At 40.6% G+C, this 23,674-nt stretch overlaps 1 long non-coding RNA gene and 1 pseudogene across 1 annotated transcript in view; both read right to left on the bottom strand.

Annotated features, from left to right (window-relative positions):
• The window catches only part of LOC105373804 (uncharacterized), a 29,389-nt gene extending 19,663 nt beyond the window's left edge, over positions 1–9,726 (bottom strand). The window contains exon 1 of the long non-coding RNA XR_923707.3: positions 9,600–9,726. This is a non-coding gene — a long non-coding RNA (uncharacterized LOC105373804). The remainder of the gene's footprint in view (positions 1–9,599) is intronic.
• HMGB1P27 (high mobility group box 1 pseudogene 27) lies at positions 12,474–13,393 on the bottom strand (annotated as a pseudogene).

Below are 23,674 nucleotides of genomic sequence, written 5' to 3'. Positions count from 1 at the left end.
ACATTGGCTCACTTACACATTGCTGGGAATGTAAAATGATATGGCTACTTTGGAATACACGTTGGCAGTGTCCTATGAAACTAAACATGCAACTACCGTATAATCCAGCAGCAATTGCACTTCTTGGGTCATTATCCTAGAAAAATGAAAGCGTATGGTTACACAAAAACCCATGTACAAACGTTTGTTACAAGTAAATCAGCTTGACTTATAAAAGTAAATAGCTGTTACTTATAAAAATGGGAATCAGCCCAAGTGTCCTTCAACAGGTCAATGGTTAAACCGTGGTACAAGTATAACATGTTAGCGCAACAAAACAGCAAAAAGAAACAGACCCTTGAGATATCTAAAACAACCTGAATGAATCTCCAGGGATGTATGCCGAGTGGAAAAAGCCAGTCTCCAAAGGCTACGTAGGGCATTATTCCATTTGCATAACATTTTTGAAATGACAAAACTTCAGAAGTAAAGAACAGATTAGTAGTTGCCAGGGATTAGACTGGGGGAGTAACACAAAAGAGGTGGAAGTGGTTATAAAAGGGTAACATAAGGGACCCTTTTTATGTTGGAACTGTTCAGGTCTTGGCTGTGGTGATCGCCAACCTATACAGGTGATAAAATTGTATACAATTTAATACACACGTGCTCACATGCAAATGAATATGGGAATACTGGGAAAATCTGAATAAGATCAGTAGATTCTATCAATGTCAATATTTTGGTTGTGATATTATATAAAGACTACAGTTTAACAAAATGTTACCATGGGAGGAAACTGGGTAAAGTGTACTAAGAATCTCTCTGTCTGGTTTCATACAACTTCATATAACTCCATAATTATAATAATTTAATTAGATATTATTTTATAATTATTTTAGTTATATAGAATTATATTATGTTTTTGTATATTACATAATTATATACAAAATATGTAAAATTATCTATATACATATAAACATTGTGTATAAACTATGTGTATAACATTTATTTACATATATAGTTTGATGGAGTTATAGTTTGATGGAGTAACAACCAAATCAACAACACATGTCAGTCAACTAAACCAGCCCCTCTTAAAGGTAATTCTGACCATTCTAGCTATTCAGGATTTGTGTTGTTTTTTGTTTTGTTTTGTTTTGTTTTGTGACAGAGTCTCACTCTCTTGCCCAGGGTGGAGTGCAGTGGTGTGAGATCTGGGGTCACTGCAACCTCTGGCTTCCGGGTTCAAGCTATTCTCCTGCCTCAGCCTCCCGAGTATCTGGGATTACATGTGTGCACCACCACGCCTGGCTAATTTTTTGTATTTTTAGTAGAAACGAGGTTTTACCATATTGGCCAGGCTGGTCTCAAACTCCTGACCTCAAGTGATCTGCCCACCTCGGGCATCCCAAAATTCTGAGATTACAGGCGTGAGCCACCATGCCTGGCCCATTCTAGCTACTGGAATGTTTACTCTCAGGCTGTGTGTTCATGGCATGCCAAAAGAAACCTTTTGTTTTCTTTTCTTTTAAAAAGATTTTTGTCTTCATCATAAAAGAGGTATTAAATGGTAGATCTGAAAATATGTAGAAATCAAAATAAGTAAAATAAAACAAAGATCATGCTAATTCCATCAGCCAATAATAATTTGAATAGTATGCTTTAAGAGGTGTGACATAATTTATTTTTAGCCATTTTTGTATTATAGTTAATGCACCCATGCATATGCTTTCATGAATAGCTGAGATTTTGTTTCTTAGAATCTATTATTTTTAAAGAATGTATATTTTATTAATGACATGATTTCTATACATATAAGTAAGATCAGTAGATTGTACCAATGTCAGTATCCTCATTATGATATTATACTACAGTTCTGCATTTCTGCATTTATACAGACATGTGCTAGACATGGTTTCTCTACTTCAATGCATAGTGCTAAAAATATTCCTGGACCTCATTTTGGTGATAACTTTGCATCCATGTTTGTGTAGGAGGTTGGGACCCTCAACGTGCACTCAGAGACAATAACTATTATAATATCAGACATGCCAGGAATATCGCTAGTGCTGTTACTCAAATTGCTCTACTAAGGATGTATCTTAAAGGAGAGGCAGAAAGTCCTCCAGTACTTACTAAAGACTTGGAGATTGCCCCTTCTGGATTTCTGTAGGCTTTACTGCACCTCCAGGGAAGCCCAGGTTTGAGAAGCATGTGCATTCAACAAGTTTCCTTGTTAAGCATACATAAAGAAGGAGAGAAAAAGCCGAGAACACACTGCTGGAGGGTACAATTTAGCAGTTCTTGCTCAGTCTCTGTTAGTGAGTAAAGACCTATTTTTCAGCTCCACTTGTGCATGCCTGTAATAGATTTTCCTGGGCAGCAGGTAATAGACTCTGACACTTCAGAAAGCCTCCACAGTAGAATTCACTGGAGAAAACATCCTGCATAATTCAGGAAACAACAAAAAATGCGTGATTATATATTTGTCAGTCTTCAGCCTCATGGTACCACAGGAGGGCAATAGCCTTTCTCCATCTAAAAGGGGTAAAATAGGTTAATCTACATACACAAAAGTAAGTGCACTATTACCTCCATTCCAGGAGAGGTTGTTTTCAGCATCAAGAGTAGCACCTGGCAGGCCCTGGAAGTGAGTATCATTTCCACAGTATAATCACTATTTCAAATGCTTTACTTGCATTGCTGATATGATAGTCTTGCCTGGAAACTACCTAAGTGTTTTCTCACACTTCCCCGAATTGCATGTAGTCTGTATTTTTCCTGTTACATATCAGTGGATTCTTCTGGGGTGGAGAGGAATATTAGGAGAAGAGCTGACAGACTGAAGAGACTGTTTTCCCTCCTGTCTATAGCTGTCTTCTCATTCAGGGTTTGATTTGCCATGAAATCAGAAGTGAAACCCTGCCTTTGGCAGAAAGCATCCCAAGCCAGTGCCAGGGCACACCGTGGTTGGCACCCACTTGTGGAAATTCGAAGCCTGCTCATCAGTTTTCCCCTACAGAGGTGGAGCAGATATTCAAACAAATTGGTCCCAGGCTAATTTAAGACATGATAGGAAATGGATTTTAACAAGCCAGATTTGTTTTATTTTCTCAGACAGAAAACAAAAACAAGACATTTTCTAGGATAATATTTGGAACATGGAAGAAGATTGGTTCATTCTATTGCAGCTTCAGTAGCCACAGAAATCAAGGCTGTCAGAAGGTGGAGTTCACATCTTTATACCCTTTAGCACATGTGTCAGGAGGGCAAGAATTTCCAGATGTCACTGTCGTTAATGTGTCCACCAAGAGCAAAGCAACTAGATTTGCTAGAAATTAGGCTGTTTTCACGGAACAGGCAGCTTCTGCTCTAGCTGCTTATTGATCCTTACCACAGCTACAAATGTCACCTTGATAGCTGTCCTAAAGAGGGCATAGGGTACTAGGTTTCCACTTAGGTGTGAATGCAAAGATCACAGGAAGATCTCTGAGCCAATCCTTGTGAATTGCTTAACATGGTAGCAAAAACCGTAATTACTTTTGCACCAACCTAATAGATTCAGAATTAAAGGGAGGTAGTTGTGATCTGACATACTCACTTTTGTTTGCTGGCATTCTTTCTTTGTGTTGTATTCTATTTCACTTCCAAAGATGAGGTTCTGCCTCTGGAAATGTAGAGGCTTGTAACACTCACTCTGGTTCATCAACAAAGTAGGCTGGCATTGTCTTAAACATTTTTGTTCCAAAACCAACAATTGCATTTCAAAAGTACATAACATCTTTCCTTCAGTGTTCTTAAAACTGCTTTGAGACATTACCTCACTAAACCAACACCTTCAAAAGACTTTAATAAAGGCAAAAGTGGAGTGCAAATGACTCCCCCTTCATCTGCTTTATCAGTGTGATATTGTGGAATGAGGACTGGAATGAAGGCAGGCCTTCTTGCTTCCCCATTTACTGTTTGACTTGAAAGTGTCACTTAACTTTCTAAACTTTGTGCTTCTCATCTGAAAAATATGGAGGCTGAACCAAATGATTTGCACAGAAGTTTCCAGTCCTGTGAGTCTATGAAATTCTAAAATGTGGGAAAGCTCTTATTTAGAGAGGTAGAGCACAAACTTGTTACACCTTTAGGAAGTGGGCTTAACTTTAACATTCAGCTTTATTTCCTTAAAGAGAAAATGAATATACCAGGCCCAGTTTATGTGCCATTCAGATCCACTCTTTCTCACTTATTGCCCCCAGAGCCTGGCTTTACTTACAGTCCTTCTCCCTTAACCAGGAATATCCTAGCAATAGCTCATTCCATTGCTGCAGTCCAAAGTCTGTTTCTGCTCGGGTCATCCCCACAGAGGAGAAGCTTCAACAGACATCACCAACTAAAGAAGAAACCACTGAAGCCACACACTGCCTGGAATGGAGTTCCAGAAGCTCCAGGGGCTGCCTGAGGTGGTGCTGAGTTGATGCAACTCAGATGTGAGAGAAAGTAGACAAAATTCGTGAACTCTTACCAATGGAAGACAAGACATGAGGGAATGCCTGCACATAAATTGCTTGCCCTTTAGACTTCCTGGCCTGATGGACTGTTCCAAGATGCAGTCATTCTCCTATGGTCTTTCTGGAGATGTCTTCTCTAGACTGAGCAGCCAATGTGTTGCTATGAAGCTCTGGCTAGCTGGGTAATGCACTTCCTTGTATTTGCTCTTCCTCGTTCCTTGTCTCATGTCTCCTTTTCCCTGGGATTCTACCCTACACTGAAGTAATAGCACACAAATTTTTGTCTCAAGTTCTGTTGTCTAGGGAAGCCAGGCTAAGACATGGTTCAATGGGTGTCCTTAGAAAGCAGACCTCCAAAAGAGAACTTTGGGTCTCCACCGATGGTGGCAAACTGGGTGGCCCGGATTCCTGGCATGCAGTGATAGTACAATTGCCAATATGTTATGTGGTATAGGCAGAAGGCAAGGTATTGGCATATCAAGTGGCTGTGTACTTGATCAGTACAGAGGGAACGATAATCATAAGGATTGTGTTACATGGTGGCTGCCTTTGATGGCTTTGGAAGATTTGCAAAAAGGCATAACAGACTCAGGAAAGCTAATTGCCCACTTAAAATATGCTGTGAAAGTCAGAGGGCCTCTATGGTAGCCTTCCAAATCCTCTTATCTACTGCAGCTGCAGGGCAAATGATGGAGGAAGAAAATCATGTTCAGGGTTTCATGGTATAGGGTTGCAAACCTACAAAGGAGAAAAAATTCACAGCCTTAAAATGTCTCCTGTGTCAATGTGAAGGCTTTGATAGGGAAAGAGTAGGAACCTGAAACCTGCAAGGTGGACATTTGAGTGGACAAATCTAATAATCTTGAATGTCCAAATTTCCCTGCCTCTCTGGAGATTATGCAGTCTCCTCAGTAGGAGACTATGCAGTTATATCACTCGATGTACTATAAGACAGTACTTGTTCTCTTCACAATCTGCCTACCACCACATCTCATTGCCTCCAGGCCAATGATCATGGTAACATCTCAGAACAATCTTGCCAGGGGCGTGCTTTGAGTCACAGAGACTGTAGTGATGGATAATGAATTATAACATTACTAGGAGTGAGTTGGAGAGACAGCCAACTAAATGTTGGATTCTCACTCTTTCTCTCTCTCTATACACACACACACACACACACACACACACACACACACACACACACGTGTAGACCAGAGCCAGCTTCAAATGTGGTCCAGAGGAAGACAGGGAGTTGCAGAAAGACCAAGTTGCAATACAAGCTGCCCTGCCTCTTGAGCCATATGTCTCATCTAGTTTGAAGCATTTCAAGGTATTTAGGGGTAAGAATGCTATATAGAATCTCTGAAAAAAATCTCATTAGAAAAATCATAGCACAGACCACTGAGATTCTGGAGTGAAGACATATCTATATGGCTTTGAAATATATATAACAGAATAAATTTCCCTTTGAAAAACAGCATGACACTAGTCACAAATAAAAATTTAGTTCCCATCATGGAACACCAAGTCTCTGTGAAACCAGAGCTGCTTATCATGAGCTGAGTTGATCAGATCTACCAAATCATATGGGCAGGGGGGGCTATGGCAGCAATCTATTACATGATGGACAAGGTACATTGAGGATTGGACTGGACTGGACTGATGTCAATGCAGGACACCTCTGTAAATTGTATCAGCAGGTAGCCTAGGCCCATTTCATCTATCTCTCTTGTGCCAGCATCTTTCCATCAATCCATTCCTATGTCATCACTGAGGATTTCCTGTGACCGACCGACAGAAGGACAAAGGGCTTGGTTTACACAAAGTTTGGTGAAATATGTTGGTGCTAGCCAGAAATGAACTTTTGCTGTACTAAAGTCTCACCAAAGATTGACCCTGAAGAAAAGTAATTGAGAGAAATTCTCCAATTGGGCAATAAAATTGATTATCATTTCATGTTGAAGGAGAAGTGGCCTGAGGAAAGAATATATACTGAGTCCTGAGCAATGAAAATGATTTGATCAAATAGTCAAGACTCAAGGACATGGGACAAGGATGTCTAGCAGATATTCATGTACAGAGACTTAGGGAGTGGAAACAATACATGCAGACCTTTTATGTCATATGAATACCCATTAGAGAACAGCAATTTCATGCAAAGTTCTCAACAACCAAGTTGGCAGCATGACCTGCCCTGTGAATGTCAGCCAGCTTCCTACTGAGTCATCCCAGTGTTTGTGCAATGGGGCTGCAAGTTATGGTGGCAAGAATGGAAACTGAGCATGGATCAAACAACATGGACTCCCTCTCACTAAGGCTGTTCTAGCTACTGCTGCTGAATTCCCTCCCTGCCAGGATCAGAGACTGATGCTGAGCCTTTGATATGGCTCCAATCTTGGAAAGACCTGCCAGCCAGCTACCGGCAGGTCAAATACATCAGACCCCTTTCACCTTAGAAGAGCAGTGATTCACACTTACCTGAACTGACACTCTGGAGAAGGATCTGTCTTCCCTGCCACAGGGAAGTGGCGGTGTTATCTCTGCCAACACCACCATCTAAGGACCTGCAAAATGCCTGATCTGCTAACATTGTACACATGACATTTCCTCAGAGTAAAGAACTAGAGGAAGTGCAGCGACAGGCTCATGGCTATGGAGTCATGAGTTTTAAAGTGTACTCTATTCCTCAGAAGCAACTAGCTTGAGAGACTAATGAAAGGCCCATGGAAGGCTCAGCATAAGTACCTGCAAAGAGATCACACCTTGTGGGGTTGGGGTGCTGCCCTTCATGGTAAGATTGATTGGATAGATAAGAGATAATATATAGATAAATAAAATATTAGATAGATAATATATATTAGGCAGATAGATTGCATATGTAATACATAATACATATTAGTTAGATAGCTAGATTGGTAGACAGACAAAGGGGTGCTAGAAGGATGATAGATACAGGATATAAGATCAACCTTGTTCCACTGTAACTCCAAATGATCCACTTTCAGAATTTGGGCTCCTCACTCTCACAAACTTAGTCTCTGCTAGATTAGTGATCCTAGTTCCCAGGGTGGAAACTCTTCTGCCATGACATCCACTGAAGCCACCTTGGACTCTATATGCCAGTGTTCAAAAAAAGGAGTTACCGTACTGTCAGGCATAATTGATGATGATTCCCTTGAGGAATGAGGGTTGCTGCAACAGAGAGAAGTATGTCTAGAACCCACAGGATTCACGGGCTTCTCTTAGTTCTTCTGTGTCCAGTCTCATCGATCAAAGGCAATTGTGTCTGAGCACAGTGGCTCACGCCTGTAATCCCAACACTTTGGGAGGCCGAGGCAGGCAGATCAGTTGAGGCCAGGAGTTCGAGACCAGCCTGGCCAACATGGTGAAATCCTGTCTCTACTAAACAAAACAGACAAAAAAATTTAGGTGGGTGTGGTGGCAGTCCCCTGTAATCCCAGCTACTCCGGAATCTGTGGCAGGAGAATCTCTTGAACCCGGGAGGCGGAGGTTGCAGTGAGCCGAGATTGCACCACTGCACTCCAGCCTGGGGGATAGGGCGAAACTCTGTCTCAAATAAATAAATAAATAAATAAATAAAATAAAGGGAAATTGTATCAAAAGTGACTTGACAGGAATAAGACAATTAAAGGCTGAAACTCCTCAGGGATGAAGGTCTCTATCACCACACAGGGCAAGAATGCAAACCAGATGAAAATATTGGTCAAGGATGAGGAAAGTCTAGAACGGGTGATAAGGAAATGCATATCAGTAGTGCCCTGGGACCAGCTGCAGCAGTAAGACTGTGCCTTGGCCTGCTAACCTTCCTTAAGCCTTTACAGAGATTGCAACTGACCATTACCTCGAAGGACTGGACTTGTGCCAGGAACTTCCTGTCATCATATGAGATCTAGATATCAGGTCTGAGTGGCACAAGAAAGAAATTTTGACAAGCTTCTCCCCCGCTCTTCTTCAGGCTCCCTGTGAGGTAACAGTACTCATGGTGCAAGAATCACACTGGCCCTCAGGCTCTATCATGATGTCTCTCCACCCTCAAGGGGAGAACTAAGACATTTCTGTGAAACCAGTCCAAAGAGTACGTCATGATGAAGTGTAACTAGCAAAAGCACTGGGGCATGGCGGTGATTCAAGAGCCACATCTTGATTCCAACATTGATTCTCGGAACAGCCTGCACGTGCTGCCCCAGGGGTGTATATTGGCTAAGATTCTCGTGTTCTTGATGTACAGTGAGGCAGACTCTTCTGAGGCTGCTCATCCTGTTTCCTCCAAGAAAGACAGAGTCATTGAGGAAAGAGCAGCCCCTGCCAACTAGATCAGCTGCCTCGGAACCAGGATGTGGAATGAAGAAAATGAGGAGAAAGCTTTTCCACATTTGTTCATATTAAATAAAAACTCAAATAGTGTGTGTCTATGTGTCTGTATACATATACAATAGTGTTACAGGGTAAAGGCAAGAAAACTTTAATTTTACCTCTCAGAAGAATCCAGAAGAACACACTGGGGAGATTCCAGGAAGATAATAAATGCACATCAGTTTAATGATGAACTAAAGAAGAGGAGGAAAGAAGGGCTAGAGCTCTGTTAATCATTGTTAATCTAAGCTGATAAGCCACTGGATTGAGATTCAGGTGGCCATGAAAGGGGCTGTACCTGGGACTAAGAAAGTAGAAATTATGAACCTAAGGAGCCAAGAAATAACCCAGTCTATGTGACGAGTCAAGATTCAGTGAAGTAAGCTGGGTGTCTGTAAAGGACGTCCCTGCACAGTATGTACCCCCATGTCTTCTGTTCATACAGTATGTTGGATTTGTATTCTAAATACACAAGTGTGTGATCAGCTACAGGAGGACTCAACAAATATTGAATAAAAGTGGTTATTGCAAAATTATGGGGTAATGCTGGAAATTCCCTCTAAGTTTTTAAAAGTCCAAACAAACAACTTTATCAGGTTATTGGTTTCTAGTAAGATCTTTTTCTTAATCAGTAATAGGTACATGAATAGATAGATGATAGATATAGACAGACAGATAGATAGATAGATAGATAGATAGATAGATAGATAGATAGATAGAAAGATAAATATTAAGGAATTGTCTCACATGATTGTAGCAGTGCTGGTCCAAAATCTGCTGGCTGGAGACCCAGGGAAGAGTTGCAGTTCAAGTCTGATGGCTGTCTGCTGGCAGAATCTTCTCTTCATCAAGAGAGGTCAGTTTTTTCTTCTATTAAGGCCTTTAGCTTATTGGATGAGGCCCACCCACATTATGAAAGGTAATCTGTTTTACTCAAAGTCTTTGGATTTAAATATTAATATCTTACAGATATATTCACAGAAACATCTAGAATAATGTTTGACCAAATATCTACCATGCCTAGCCAAGTTGACACATAAAATTAACCATCACAAGCTGTGAGTATTCATGTATATTTAACTGGATTATACACTTGGGTTTTTTGCATTGAGACAATGAGTATATTTATTGAGTTTGTAACAGGAAGAATGTAAATGCTATGACTTGGTTGTTAAAGAGCACATCTAAAATACACAAAAATTATTTGTACTCTGTGAACTCCTATGGCAGCGTCTGGCCCTAAGTTTTATAGATCAGTTAACACCCTGAAGTTTTGTGGTGTGTTGGGTTGTAGTAAGATGACCAATTTGTCCTGGTTTTCCTGGAACATTCTTGGATCTAGTATTGAAAATTCAATGCCCTCCAAGACCTTTCAGTCCTGGGAAAACCAGGGCAAATATTGCCATAATGAATGGGCTGTGCTAAAATCCTTCCTACTTCCCTAAATGAGCAGGGATTTAGGAGTGGTCAGTGCTGGCCCTAAAATGATCTGTGTTTGAACAGGTGTGAATCACTTTATGATGCCTTCTATTGCCCCTTGGAAGGAACCTTAAAATAAGCAGAGGACCAGCAAGGGGGCGTTATCCCTGGGTGACTTTATCATCTCCTGTGGGCAGACTTTGCCAGAAACAGTCTTGGCAATCTCCCTTCCAAAATAAGGTTTAATCTCTTTATTTGTTTCTGTGGACTAAAGGTCAGGGCCTCTCTATGAAGGTGGCTTGCAGCTGACACTAAACCCTGTCCATGATCGGTTCTGCCCTTCTCTAGGTCATAGGAGCACCCATGACAGCACAGGAGTGGGTTCAATAGGTGGCCAGAGCCCTCCTGCACAGCCACAATTTTCCACAAGGGCAAAGAACACCTCTGTCACCTCATATAACATTTGCTTGCTTCCTGGAGCCATTTGCTTGTGGTATGAAAAAAAGTTTATGAGTCTAAAAATTATTTGGGGCCATATATGAGAGCCATGGGGTCCTTGAATTTTGAAAAGACTGAGAGGAGAGATGGGGTGATGTTGATGCTTTATGAACCTCCCACCTCCTGTTGAACTGAGCAGCTTCCCTTTCATTTATCTTACATATTGGGCATCCACACCAGGTTTTGTCTAGATTGTGTTCTTTTTATTGCTGTAATGTTTTAAATAAACTAAAATAAAGGATACAGAATATTTACCTGCATAAATGTATTTATAAATTCTTTAAACCATTTGAGTACTGAAATGATCCCACTATGCAAATCGTCAACCACATAAACATTGGTATCTTTTTCTTTCATTTTCAAATACAGAACTCTCCTTCTCCCCTTTTTCTAAATTTAAAGTCTGAGAACTTTAACTGTTAAGTTCAAATTCCAGCTCTGCATTTTCCAGCTTTATGATTGTGGCAAGTAAAATGAAGCTATTTGAGCTTCTGTTTCCTTATGTATAATGTGAGTGCAATAATATTGACCTTATGGGTTCTGTGAGGATTAAATGAAATAATGCAATAAAGTACCTGGTATGTGGATAACTAATAAATAGCAGCTACTATTCTAGAATATTGAACACCAAACTTCACAATTGTGCTTCGGCATACCTCTCTGGTCTAATCTCTCAATATCCTCTCACAGTTCACTTTATTTTGGTTTGGGTAGCCCTTAAATGTCTGGCAGAGACTTAAATCACTTCCAGAATAAATAACTGAGACATTTTCTGAAGCCTTGCTATAGTTTGCAGAAGGGTGGCAGAGGATGCTTGAAGTGTGAACCTGTAATACCATGCTACCATGCTGCCCAAACATCTCCTCTCTGCCTGGGATATGCTGTTTCATTCACCGGTGGTCTCATTTCTCTTTTTCTTCACCTGACTAATCTTTGGCTTTCCCCCAAGGTTCAGCTCAGATGTCTCCTACCTGGGAAAAAATCTTCCCTTCCTCTCCGCATCTGGATTAGAGGCCCCTCATCTGTGTTTGTCCACAAAACACATCACAGAGCACTGTAAACCTATGTTTAAATATTTTACCCCTCACAAGACTAATGTAGCAAACATTTCATGGTGCCTTTATGGCCAGGATACTCGCAGGTCCCTGGCTGGCCATGTTGCATACAGTGTGGCCCTACCTGCCCCTTATCTCCCACCTCTGATTGAAACTGACCAGAGTAGTTATGAGTGGCTGACCCAAGGTCTTCTCTAGGAACCATGACCTATGTATGACCTGTCACTAATGGCAGTGGCTTCAGTCCGATTTGTGCATCAGTATTGCCACTGGAACTTAAAACAATACAGATGCTGAGCTTTCCATCCTCAGAGATTCTGATTCACTAAGTCAAGGATGGTTCCACGCATTGGTATTTTTTTAGACTCCCTCAGGTGGTTCTGATAAGCAGCCAGTGTAAATGACTCTCTGAAGTAGCATGGAAAGAAGAGCTGATTTCATTAGATTCCCTTTTTTAAAAAAGGTTTTTTAATTTAAAAAATTGTATTTACTCAGAAGCATTCAGAATGTCAACAAAACAGCTACAACTTTTTTTTTTCTTGCAATTACAGAGTGATGTTCAGTTAACAGAGCAGCAATTATTTCATATAGGCTGCGTCAGAGACAACTGAAGATGAAAAAATGACCATCCCCATATATAACTAATTTGTGCTATGGACCAAGAAGAATCTACTTTAAATTTCCATGCCATTTAAACCCCACATACTGTACAAGGCAAGGTTAGCGGCTATTGAAAATACCACTAGAAGAGGGCTATCTAACTACACAATTGATAGTATAACTAAACAAAAAAGACACTTTACAGTTTAAAAACAAACCTTACACAGCCTTACATTTCCGTTTTATTTTTCTTTAAAAGGAGTGAGTTGTATGGGAGGGTTAAATGCTTTATAGACAAGGAAAAGAAACTGTGCTAGAACCAACTTATTCAACATCATCTTCTTCTTCTTCACCATTTCTTCATTTTCCTCATCTTCCTATTCTTCCTTCATTGTCTTGCTTTTTTTCAGCCTTCATGGCTCGCTTTTTTGCTGTATCAGGCTTTTCTTTAGCTCGGTATGCAGCAATATCCTTTTCGCATATTTCCTTCAGCTTAGCAGCCTTCTTTTCATAAGGCTGCTTGCCATCTGCAGCAGTGTTATTAACATCTCTCCCAGTTTCTTTGCTATGTCATCAATGGGTAGGCCAGGATATTCTCCTTTGATCTTGGTGATACTCAGAACAGAACAAGAAAAAGCCCAAAAGAGGCCTCTTGGGTGCACTGGTTTCCTTAAACTCCTCTTTTGTTTCCCCTTTAGGAGGGATTAGGTTTTCATTTGTCTTTCATAACAGGTTTTGTCTGCCTTTGCCATGTCTTCAAATTTTCCTTTCTCTTTAGCAGAAATGGCCTTCCACCTCCCTGAGCACTCCTGAGACAACTCTGAGAAGCTGACCGAAGGAGCTGGATGCTGCTTCTTGTGCTTCCTCCCAGCAAGTCTATACAGAGAATGCATATGATGACATGTTGCCCCATGGCCTCTTAGGATCTCCTTTGCGCATGTTTAGTAATTTTTCCTTAGCCACCAACAGAGTGGCCCAGTGCTTATCAATTCTCACTTTCCCCAGCACTATTTCTATGGAGCTCAATGTACTGCAATAGCCATGACAGTGGGAGCCAGATGCTGCCTCTCATTAGATTCTCTTTATTGGAAATTTGAACAGAAAAATATGGAACGAACTTTATAATGAACAGTGGAATGGGAAGTGAGAGAATTTCAAGGGAATGAAAGCTATGGAAAGTCAAAGGCATGTGTCATCTTGAGTTACCAGGGGGCAGAAGAAGTTGGTCATTATAGAGAGGAGAATGGAACTGATGTGTAGAACGAAGCTGATAACATAAAAAAGCAAGAGACAAAAGACAGGTATAGAATGTCTCAGAGAAAAACAGAAATAGAAAAAATAGAGGCAGAGAAAGAGACCGAGAGAGAAGCAGACAGATGAAGAGATAGAGGTAGATAGAAACCTCACTCAGAACTGCCACCATCAGCTTAATCCCCCAAACTAGAAACCTCTGCAGACATCTCCCTTATCACCCACATCCAATGTTGTCAATTCTACCTTCCAAAGATGTCTTTAAGGGCTGGGCACGGTGGCTTATGCCTGTAATCCCAGCACTTTGGGAGGCTGAGGCAGGAGGATCACCTGAGTTCAGGAGCTCAAGACCAGCCTGGCCAACATGGTAAAACCCCATCGCTACTAAAAACACAAAAAATTAGCTGGGCGTGGTGGCAAGCACCTATAATTCCAGCTACTCAGGAGGCTGAGGCAGGAGAATAGCTTGAACCTGGCAGGAGGCAGAGATTGCAGTGAGCCACTCTGGCAGGAAGCAGAGGTTGCAGTGAGATTGAGCCACTGCACTCCAGCCTGTGAGACAGAGACTCCATCTCAAAAAAAAAAAGAAAAAAAAATTTCTAAGATGTGATTTTTTTTTTTTTTAAGTCCTGCTGTCACTGCCGTCCAGATCTTCATAAGTACTTGCTGGGACTATGGCAAAAACCTCACAACTGGTCTCTCCCTACCCCAGTCTATTTCCAGCACTGTTGCAGATCACACTATCTTACACTTTGGTGGCCACGTCTTCGGGCCTGGCGAAACCTGCCTCATCTCCTCTCCTGTGAGTGCTAGGTTCCTCCAGATCCCATTCTTCTGCCACAGCAAATCAGGCCCTGACCTTTGTAAATGGGATTCCCTTGGCTTTCTCTTCTGCATTTGGCAATCTTCCATCCTGCCTTCAAAATCTGGCTCAAAAATACCTCAGTAATGCCTTTTCACCTCTTTCAGGCAGAGTTATCTTATAACAAAGTTCCTACCTTTCCCATTATACCGTGAGCTTTTTTTTTAGTTATCTCAGAATTCCCAGGACACAGCAAATGTGCGTTGTCTTGAACTAAATTTGTGGAATTTCAGGTAATGAGGGAGCCAGGACACTGCTGGGTGGGTGGGCCAGCTCTTATGATTCTGCCCCAACCCAGAGCCAGCCCCTAGATTTTCAGGTTTTTGTCTTCATCCACGTTTATCCCCACAGATCCTCTGAAAGCTCCAAACAAAATTTTCCCCACAGCTCCATGGTAACCTCAGCAGAGGCTCCTGGAGGTGACAGTTCTGGGATGCAAAGAAGGGCGAATGAAGTGGGGCAGCTATTTGTCCATGTGAGTATTTGGACTTCCTTGATACACATAAGAGCAATTTCCTTCCTTTTTGCTTTGAATCCTAAGAAAATGCCTCAATAAAAAATACTTAGGGGAGCACATGAATTAACTCACTTTCCATCACCTGAACCACTTAGCGCTTCCAACAAAGCTTTGGGGGGAAATCTGTATTTAATCAATGTTGAAACAATCACTCTGATGCAGAAATGCACACAAAAAGAGGACCAGCTTTTATTTTGCGTACTGTATTCCTTTTGACAGTGATGACTAATGGAGTAAGATTTTTGTTCACTAGAAGAAGCTCAGTAGCATGTATCAGGGCAATTAACTTGGAAATCTGTGAATAAGCATGATTCAGGGGCCTATTGAACATCAACTTGCAGACTCTTATGAATCCTGGTTGCTTCCATTGGCTGAAAAAATACTGTAAAATCTTGAATTTTGCAGTAAAAAAAATTCATTTTGGTTGTGACTCCTACTTGAGTCACATGGTATCAGATGGAAAATGAGTAGGAAGGAGAGGATCGCTGCCAACTAAAAGGAGAGAGGCTAGTCTGGACAGAGCATTTTGTGGGACACAGATTTGATTGTAAGCCAACTATTTTAAAAATCCTCATTCTTGCAAGCTAGCACATGACCTCTTTCCTAAGGGTGAGGAGATTCCAGAGGTACATATTTGCCATCTGGAGTGGATGCAAATTCTAGTGCAATTCATCTAGAAACCTGCATCATTGAAATTAATCATCATGTTGAACAAGGAGAGCATGCTGGGGCAGGGAGGTCAGTTTCACTTGATAAGAATAGAATGCACATTCTAGCTGGGAATGTGCTGACATTCATTGCATTCAGGAAAATTCTACACAAAGCCTCTCTCTCTGGAGAGGATTCCTGAGAAAGAGAAGGGCTCACTGTGTGGCATAGAAATGAGAACCCCCTCAAAGCCCTGGCTTTTGAAGGTATCCAGAATCACAGTGATTCAATGCCATTGGATACTGCTCTTTTTCTTCCTGGGAGGGAAACATCAGTCCATCAGTTCAAACCCTACAGGGTTTTCTGTGTTTGTCCTAATCATGTTAGAAGCAGAACGCCTAGTTAGTAATCAAGCACCAGTTGGAGCTGTTTCCTACCAAACGTATGGTTTTGATTTTGAAGCCCTCCATTCATTGTTCTTTAGCACTGTGAAGGGCTTGTAACCAGCTAACTGCTTCTCCTACTTTGGTCTGGGGAACTAAATGCAAATCTGGCTGATACTTCAGATGGGCTAGGGCCAAATTTTGTTGGTTTTTGTTAATGCTGTTACTTATTTTTGAAAGAGGTGTGGACAAAAAAAAAAGGGCAAAAGTTGGAATGGTATTTGAAGTTTGCTCGTGGTGTTTTAGGGAAACAGGAACATATCACTATAAAAGACATTTCCTTCAATATGGGTAAGAGTTCCTCATTGATTCAACTGAGCTCTTGAAATCTGAAATGTTTAGGGAGCAGTAGAAATTTGATAAGGGATCATAGACTCAAGGGGATGAGAGAAGATTTGAAAAGTCATCGAATATAACTCCTTGATTTAGTAAAACCATAATTCGTAGTTTTCCTCTGATGAGTCACGGCCAGGAAGTAGATATTGTAGATGAGTCTGGGTCCTTGCACTTCTCAGCTTCTGTCATTTACAAATTCTACTTTGATGTCTCTGAAGATGACATCTGAATGTGCATGTGCAGAAGAAGTGGCATTGAATAGAACTGGTTTAAAATCCCTAATTTGCTACTTAATTGCTGTTTGAATTTGCATAAGTTATTGAACCCTCTAACCCTCAATTTCCTCATCTATAATATGGGATAATAATAACTACGCTGCAGGGATCATTTTAAAACTAAATTAGATAATGCCGTATGATATCTATATCTATATTCCTACTTTCCACCATACACAGCACTAATTTTTAAAATAAAATTAAAACAAAAATATAATCTATAATATTTGAATGTAAACTTAAGATAATGGATGCTGTTTTGCTGAAATTAAATGCATTTACACAGTGAATTTGAAAGTTTGTTTGAGTTTAGTAAGCCAGTAACATCAAATTCCACTGTGTAAGTGTCCTGGAATTTAATCAGAACCCAGAGATCTCTCAGCCTGTTTGCCATTATTTGCCATCGCATAATGGGTTGCCAGGTGCAATTTCACCTCTGTCTGAGACCATTGCTTGGATCAAAGAGGGCTCTTGTTTATCCAGCTCCCTATGAGACCAGGCAGGGCCAGTGGTGACCCTCCAAGCTGAGCTCAGCCAGAGGGAACCTGTGTCTTGGTGCTCAGTTCTGAACAGTCTCATAGACCCCCATACTTGAGTGGGCTTAGGGACCCATACCCTTCTAAAATCCACTGAGAAATCCTCAACAGAGGAGTTATGTGTTAACTTTATCTTTTAGAGGAATCATGTTGGCAGCAGCTTGAGGATAGGCTGGAGTGGCTAAGAATGACAAGGGAGTGGCAATTGAATCGTAGAAATACTTCAAACTCAGGCACCTCGCATTTAAAACACCACAGCACTTCCACGCATCACCAGCTTTACCTGCTTCTATTTTCCAGTATGAAGCTTCTGCTCCTGCCAATATGTTCTGTTTGACCTTCCCTGAATACACACTGGGTTTCCCTGCCTATTCAGCCCGTACTTATGTCTTTCTCTTCACTTATATATTCCTCTAGTCCTTATCAAAAATCCTAACCGTTCTTTTAGGGTCCATCTTCTTCACTCAGTCTTTCTTAGTTTGTTCAAATTACCTAATATGATTCATAAATTACCTTGTATTGAGGTATTTATGTTCCATACTGTGACTTGTCTCTTCCAGCAATTGGGTTCAAATGTGATGGCAGGCACACCTCTTGCACAAGCTGGTATTTTACCTGATTTTAACCTATGATGGCTCATTGTTCAATGTTGGCACTCTATAACTTGCTGAATAAATAGATGACTAAATAAACCACCCATTGACTCATCTTATAGGCACCCCTATATAGCTGTAAGGGAATTATTTAGTAACTGCTTAAAATGTATCTAAATTGGATGTTTTACATTAGGTTCATAAGTGAAAAGCAAGCTTGTCAGAGATCTTCAAATGAAGCTTATTTAATGAGTTATTTTTTAAAATCCTATACAACAATGGAAAACCACAGTAAGTGGGTGTGATGGTAGTTCAAGAGTAACATTTTACTGATTTATAAGAAGAGTAAAAAATAGAAGTGAACAGTGAAAAGACTGAAATCATTTTTCCTCCATATGTTTTGTTTTATGTTTGCTTTTGCTTCTGGACATGACACAAACGAAGTTGCAGATAAAAGATAGCACCTTTAGTTGGTAAGAACAGGGCACTGATTAGCAGCAATATATTGAAACTATATAAAGCAATGAGTTTAAAAGTACTTTAGGAAACCTGAGGTCTTTAATCAAGGCTGCAACTGTAAGTTTTTTAAAAAGCCAAAAAAGAAGCCAAGTCTTTAGTAAAAGGGCTGTTTTAAAACATTAAATTTTATTTGAATTTTTTTCCTAATTTATACCAAATCTTCAAAGTAGTCGGGACTTAGTTACATCTTAACTGTTATTCTTTTGATAATTTTTTTTAATAGAAAAGGCAGTTGTGATTAGATAATGATCAAAATGTTTTTCAACTCTTCTATTATGACTCGGGAGATAACAAACTAATGTCCATCATTTTTATTTTATTTACTCCTAGTAAATTACCTTACAAAAATAAGGCATTTGATATGTATTTGGTGAATGAGTGAATGAATGAATAAAGAATGAAGAAATGATACTGTCACTGAGTGACAGTTCTTTGAATGATGGGCTCAGGTTCTCAAAGGAATTAAACAATCTTCACAGGCTCATGCCTGGAAATTCAATTTTTTAAGGAACAGAAAATGGCACAAAATCCTAGATGATATATTTTTTTTTTGAGATGGAGCCTTACTCTGTTGCCCAGGCTGTAGTGCAGTGGCATGATCTCGGCTCACTGCAACCTCCACCTCCCAGGTTCAAGCGATTCTCCTGCCTCAGCCTCCCCAGTAGCTGGAATTACAGGTGAGCACCATCACACCAGGCTAATTTTTAAAAAATTTTTTTTGGTAGACACGGGGTTTTACCATGTTGGCCAGGCTGGTCTCGAACCCCTGGCTGCAAGTGATCCACCTGCCTTGGCCTCCCAAAGTGCTGGGATTACAGGTTTGAGCCACCGCGCCTGACCCCTACATCATCTTATTATCTGGGCATTAGGCCCCTGGTTCCAGGTCTGTCCCCATCTCTGACCTCTACCTCCTTTGTTCCTGCTTTGAGACTCCAGTCTTGCCATGGTTTCTTAGGCTTAGCTCTGTATCTGTGCTCCCAGATACCTCTGGTCCCAGCTCTAATCCACAGATACAATTTACCTATCCTTTGTCAATAGATTAAATTGTTAGATTAGTCTGACGGGAAATGTTGTTCATGTGAAGTCAGTATCTTGTTCTATTCCCATTATTTATTCAGTGTGACAATTTTTTTCCCTTGCTATAAAAGTTGAGCTTAGAGGTCTTTAATTTTCAGAACTAAACCTTTTACCCTTTTATTACACAACCATTTTATGCTGGCTCTTTTCCCAGTGTCCTGGCACTTCCTTAGTTCCCCAAGAAACGCTAAAGAGTAACAGATGTAACCCAGCAAAGGCTTCAACCAATTCATCAAGTACTCTGTGAAGTAAGTCATACTCCTCATAAGTTTGAACACAGCTTCTTTATAACCACTCTACTGTTTGTCTGTTGCTCTCTTTCTGGGGTTCTCTGTCCTTCTCTCTAGTCCATAGTTTGGTACTATCTTTTTTTCTTTTTTTTTTTTCAGATGGAGTCTCCCTCTGTCACCCAGGCTGGAGTACAGTGGCATGATCTCGGCTCACTGCAACCTCCGCCTCCCGGGTTCAAGTGATCCTCTTGCCTCAGCCTCTCAAGTAGCTGGGATTACAGGCGCCTGCTACCGTGCCTGGCTAATGTATGTATTTTTAGTAGAGACGGGGTTTCACCGTGGTGGCCATGGTTGGCCAGGCTGTTCTTGAACTCCTGACCTCAGGTGATCTGCCTGCCTTTGCCTCCCAAAGTGCTGGGATTACAGGCATGAACCACCGTATCTGGCCCATAGTTTGGTACTATCTTACATTGTATTAATCAAGGGTACAAAGATATGACTAGATCTAGTGACATATGTGGGTTTTACTCAATAATGTCTTTTATAGACAAGGGAAGAGGCCACTGAAAGCTTCAGGCCTACATGGTTTTTACCGTACACAATTCCCAAAGAGAGAGAGTCAGAGAGACTGGGTCCTAACACCGGTCCAAAAGTATGAGTCACTGTAAGAATAAAGTGCTAGATTGAGACTTCTGGTTTCTTGACAACAAAGACCAAAGTGAAGTAGGTATCCAGCACCCATTCTGGATAATTTGTGTCTTACTCCCAGATATTATAAAATCCACTTTGAGAATTTGAATTAGCCATATATTTGAACATAAGAAGAAAATATATCCAGGAATAAGGTTATTATAAAGACCAAAACCCAGAGGTGAGAAACGAAGTGTTTCAGCTGTGCTATTGAATAAATTCCATCAGGTGAATAAATAAGCCTGAAACAATAGCCCTTTCTGAGCCAGGTTTTATACAATACAGTACACAGCAAAGGTGAGAGACTCTCCACAGGACGACTCTTTAGGACTTTTCTCCTGTGTTGGCCTTGTCTTGTCAAGGTGTTCTCAGTGGTAACAAGACCTTGGGTTTTGCACAGGCATCATTTACAAGAGTTAATTGCCTTCCACCAGATAGCATTTACTCCACTGGTTATCTCCAAAGGAAAGAGCAACACTGTGTTGGAAGCTCGTGTTTAAGGAATTAAGTAGGGCACAAGTACAGCCAACTAAAATAGATTCAATGCTCTGGCAGTATTGCAGAGAAGACAACAAAGTCAGTGTGGTTCCTACTACTTGGCCCGTTGCCTTAAATGAAGTGTTAGATTCCCTATCTGGAGATTCTGCCCTTTGCTGGAAAGACCAATTGACTGGATGATCTAATAATTTTGCCCCCTTTGCCAACCTGTATGTAATCCATTGTTATCATTATTAAGCAACATCCACTGGAATTCTCTGGGAATAGTATAGGAAGTTAGAAATACAAACAGAGGGAACGCAGCTTTCCCGTATGATGTCAGCTTCTGTTTTAGCCTAAATACTTTTAGAGGATATCCCATTTAAGCCAGACATCTTGTTTACAATGGGGCAGTATTGCAGAGTGTGGGTGAGAGGACAATGCACTCACAGTACAAGCTACCACTGTGCAGTTGGTTCTGTCAAAGTCTCATGTTACAGCTGATTAACTGGCTGCTTCTGACAGGGCCAAACATGACAAGCTTCTCCATTCTGAGAGAATCTGCAGACTGAATGCCATCTAAAAGGGAGCCTAAATAGATAGCTCTTTGATACATTACCATGGATCTTTTTGTCCCTGATTTTTATTAATCTTTTATATATATAGCAGCACTTGATATAGATGACTACTGCCCTTGTGATTTCCTCGTGGATTTTTCTAAACCTTGAAGCAATGAGGAAGTGAATACAGAGTTTATGCCTTTGTATGGGAAATGAATTGGATTATTAGAGAAAATTCTCTGGAAAACCAACCAGCAAGCAGTCATGGCTCTAGAATTTCTATAAAGGAGTTAAACGGGGCAACTTATTGGGACAGCCAGGGAATTTGTCTTAAAGTTGTATAGCAAAGAAACCACCTTTACCTAGATAATATGGGGTGGTAGGGTGGATTTTGGAGACAGGCAAGAGACCTCTGAGCCATCTCTTGTCATCACCACCCTGTGTAAGTTTGACATACCTAAATACCTAAGGAACAAAGGCTTTATCTAAATTGTAAGTAAATACTCAGGTATGAATCTGACCAATGTCACCATTCAGGTACTCAGGTTAAACAAAGCCAAGAATAAATCCTCACAATCCTTTCACATGAGTACTATTGCTTGCATCCTCTCTCCTTCTTCCACATCCATCCTGGTGTAAAGTAAGACTGATACACTTGCGATAGCCATAGAGCAAGTTGGTAGGGGTCTAGTTTATTAATCCTATAAACCTTGTGACATCTCAGGACAAGTGATTACACAATCACAGATGCCAAAAGGCTAGAGACTAATACTGGTCTTGTTTAAATGTGAAAGGCACTCTCTTATAGTAAACTCAAAAGAAGCTTCGGTTTTTAGTTGGCTTTCACGTGAGAATAGTGCCCTCTGGTGCTTTTTAAAGTTCCTGCCTCCAGAACTGGCTAAGGAAAAGAAGTCCTTTGCAATTTGACCAACATTAACAATTTATGCAAAAGGACTGACTATCGTTCAAATAGCGCTTTCCTTTTCCATTTTAAAACTGTGTTCTTTGTTGTAAGACTATTCACCATTGCTCTCATCTAGCATAAAACAGAGAATTTGTACTCCACCCAGAAAGATGGAAGCAGTAGTCAAATGGAAAACATGCATTTATTCCAGCTCATCAACAATGATGTGACTCTGTGAAGCCAAACAATTCTCAAGAGAAAGATGATGCCAACCCTTCATTTTTAAGACTGAGTTCATTATTTTTACACTGATTTGGCTCTCTGTTTGTCTGTAATTGGTGTATAGGAATGCTTGTGATTTTTGCACACTGATTTTGTATCTTGAGACTTTGCTGAAGTTGCTTATCAGCTTAAGGAGATTTTGGGCTGAGACGATGGGGTTTTCTAAATATACAATCATGTCATCTGCAAACAGGGACAATTTGACTTCCTCGTTTGCTAATTGAATACCCTTGATTTCTTTCTCTTGCCTGATTGCCCTGGCCAGAACTTCCAACACTATGTTGAATAGGAGTGGTGAGAGAGGGCATCCCTGTCTTGTACTGGTTTTCAAAGGGATTGCTTCCAGTTTTTCCCCATTTAGTATGATATTGGTTGTGGGTTTGTCACAAATAGCTCTTATTATTTTGACATACGTTCCATCAATACCTAGTTTGTTGAGAGTTTATCACATGAAGGCCTGGGGAATTTTGTCAAAGGCCTTTTCTGCATCTATTGAGATAGTCATGTGGTTTTTGTCATTGGTTCTGTTTATGTGATGGATTACGTTTATTGATTTGCTTATGTTGAACCAGCCTTGCATCCCAGGGATGAAGCCGACTTGATCGTGGTGGATAAGCTTTTCGATGTGCTGCTGGATTCAGTTTGCCAGTATTTTATTGAGGATTTTCACATCGATGTTCATCAGGGATATTGGTCTAAAATTCTCTTTTTTTGTCTCTTCCAGGCTTTGGTATCAGGATGGTGCTGGCCTCATAAAATTAGTTAGGCAGGATTCCTTCTTTTTCTATTGATTGGAATAGTTTCAGAAGGAATGGTACCAGCTCCTCTTTGGACCTCTAGTAGAATTTGTCTATAAATCCGTCTGGTCCTCGACTTTTTTCAGTTGGTAGGCTATTAATTATTGCCTCAATTTCAGAGCCTGTTATTGGTCTATTCAAGGATTCAACTTCTTCCTGGTTTAGTCTTGGGAAGGTGTATGTGTCCAGTAATTTATCCATTTCTTCTAGATTTTCTAGTTTATTTGTGTAGAGGTGTTTATAGCATTCTCTG

Source organism: Homo sapiens, chromosome 2 (genome assembly GCF_000001405.40).
Source record: "Homo sapiens chromosome 2, GRCh38.p14 Primary Assembly".
Lineage (NCBI taxonomy): Eukaryota > Metazoa > Chordata > Mammalia > Primates > Hominidae > Homo > Homo sapiens.
The sequence above is the reverse complement of the archived record's forward strand: the minus strand, read 5'-3'. Positions and strand labels throughout refer to the sequence as shown.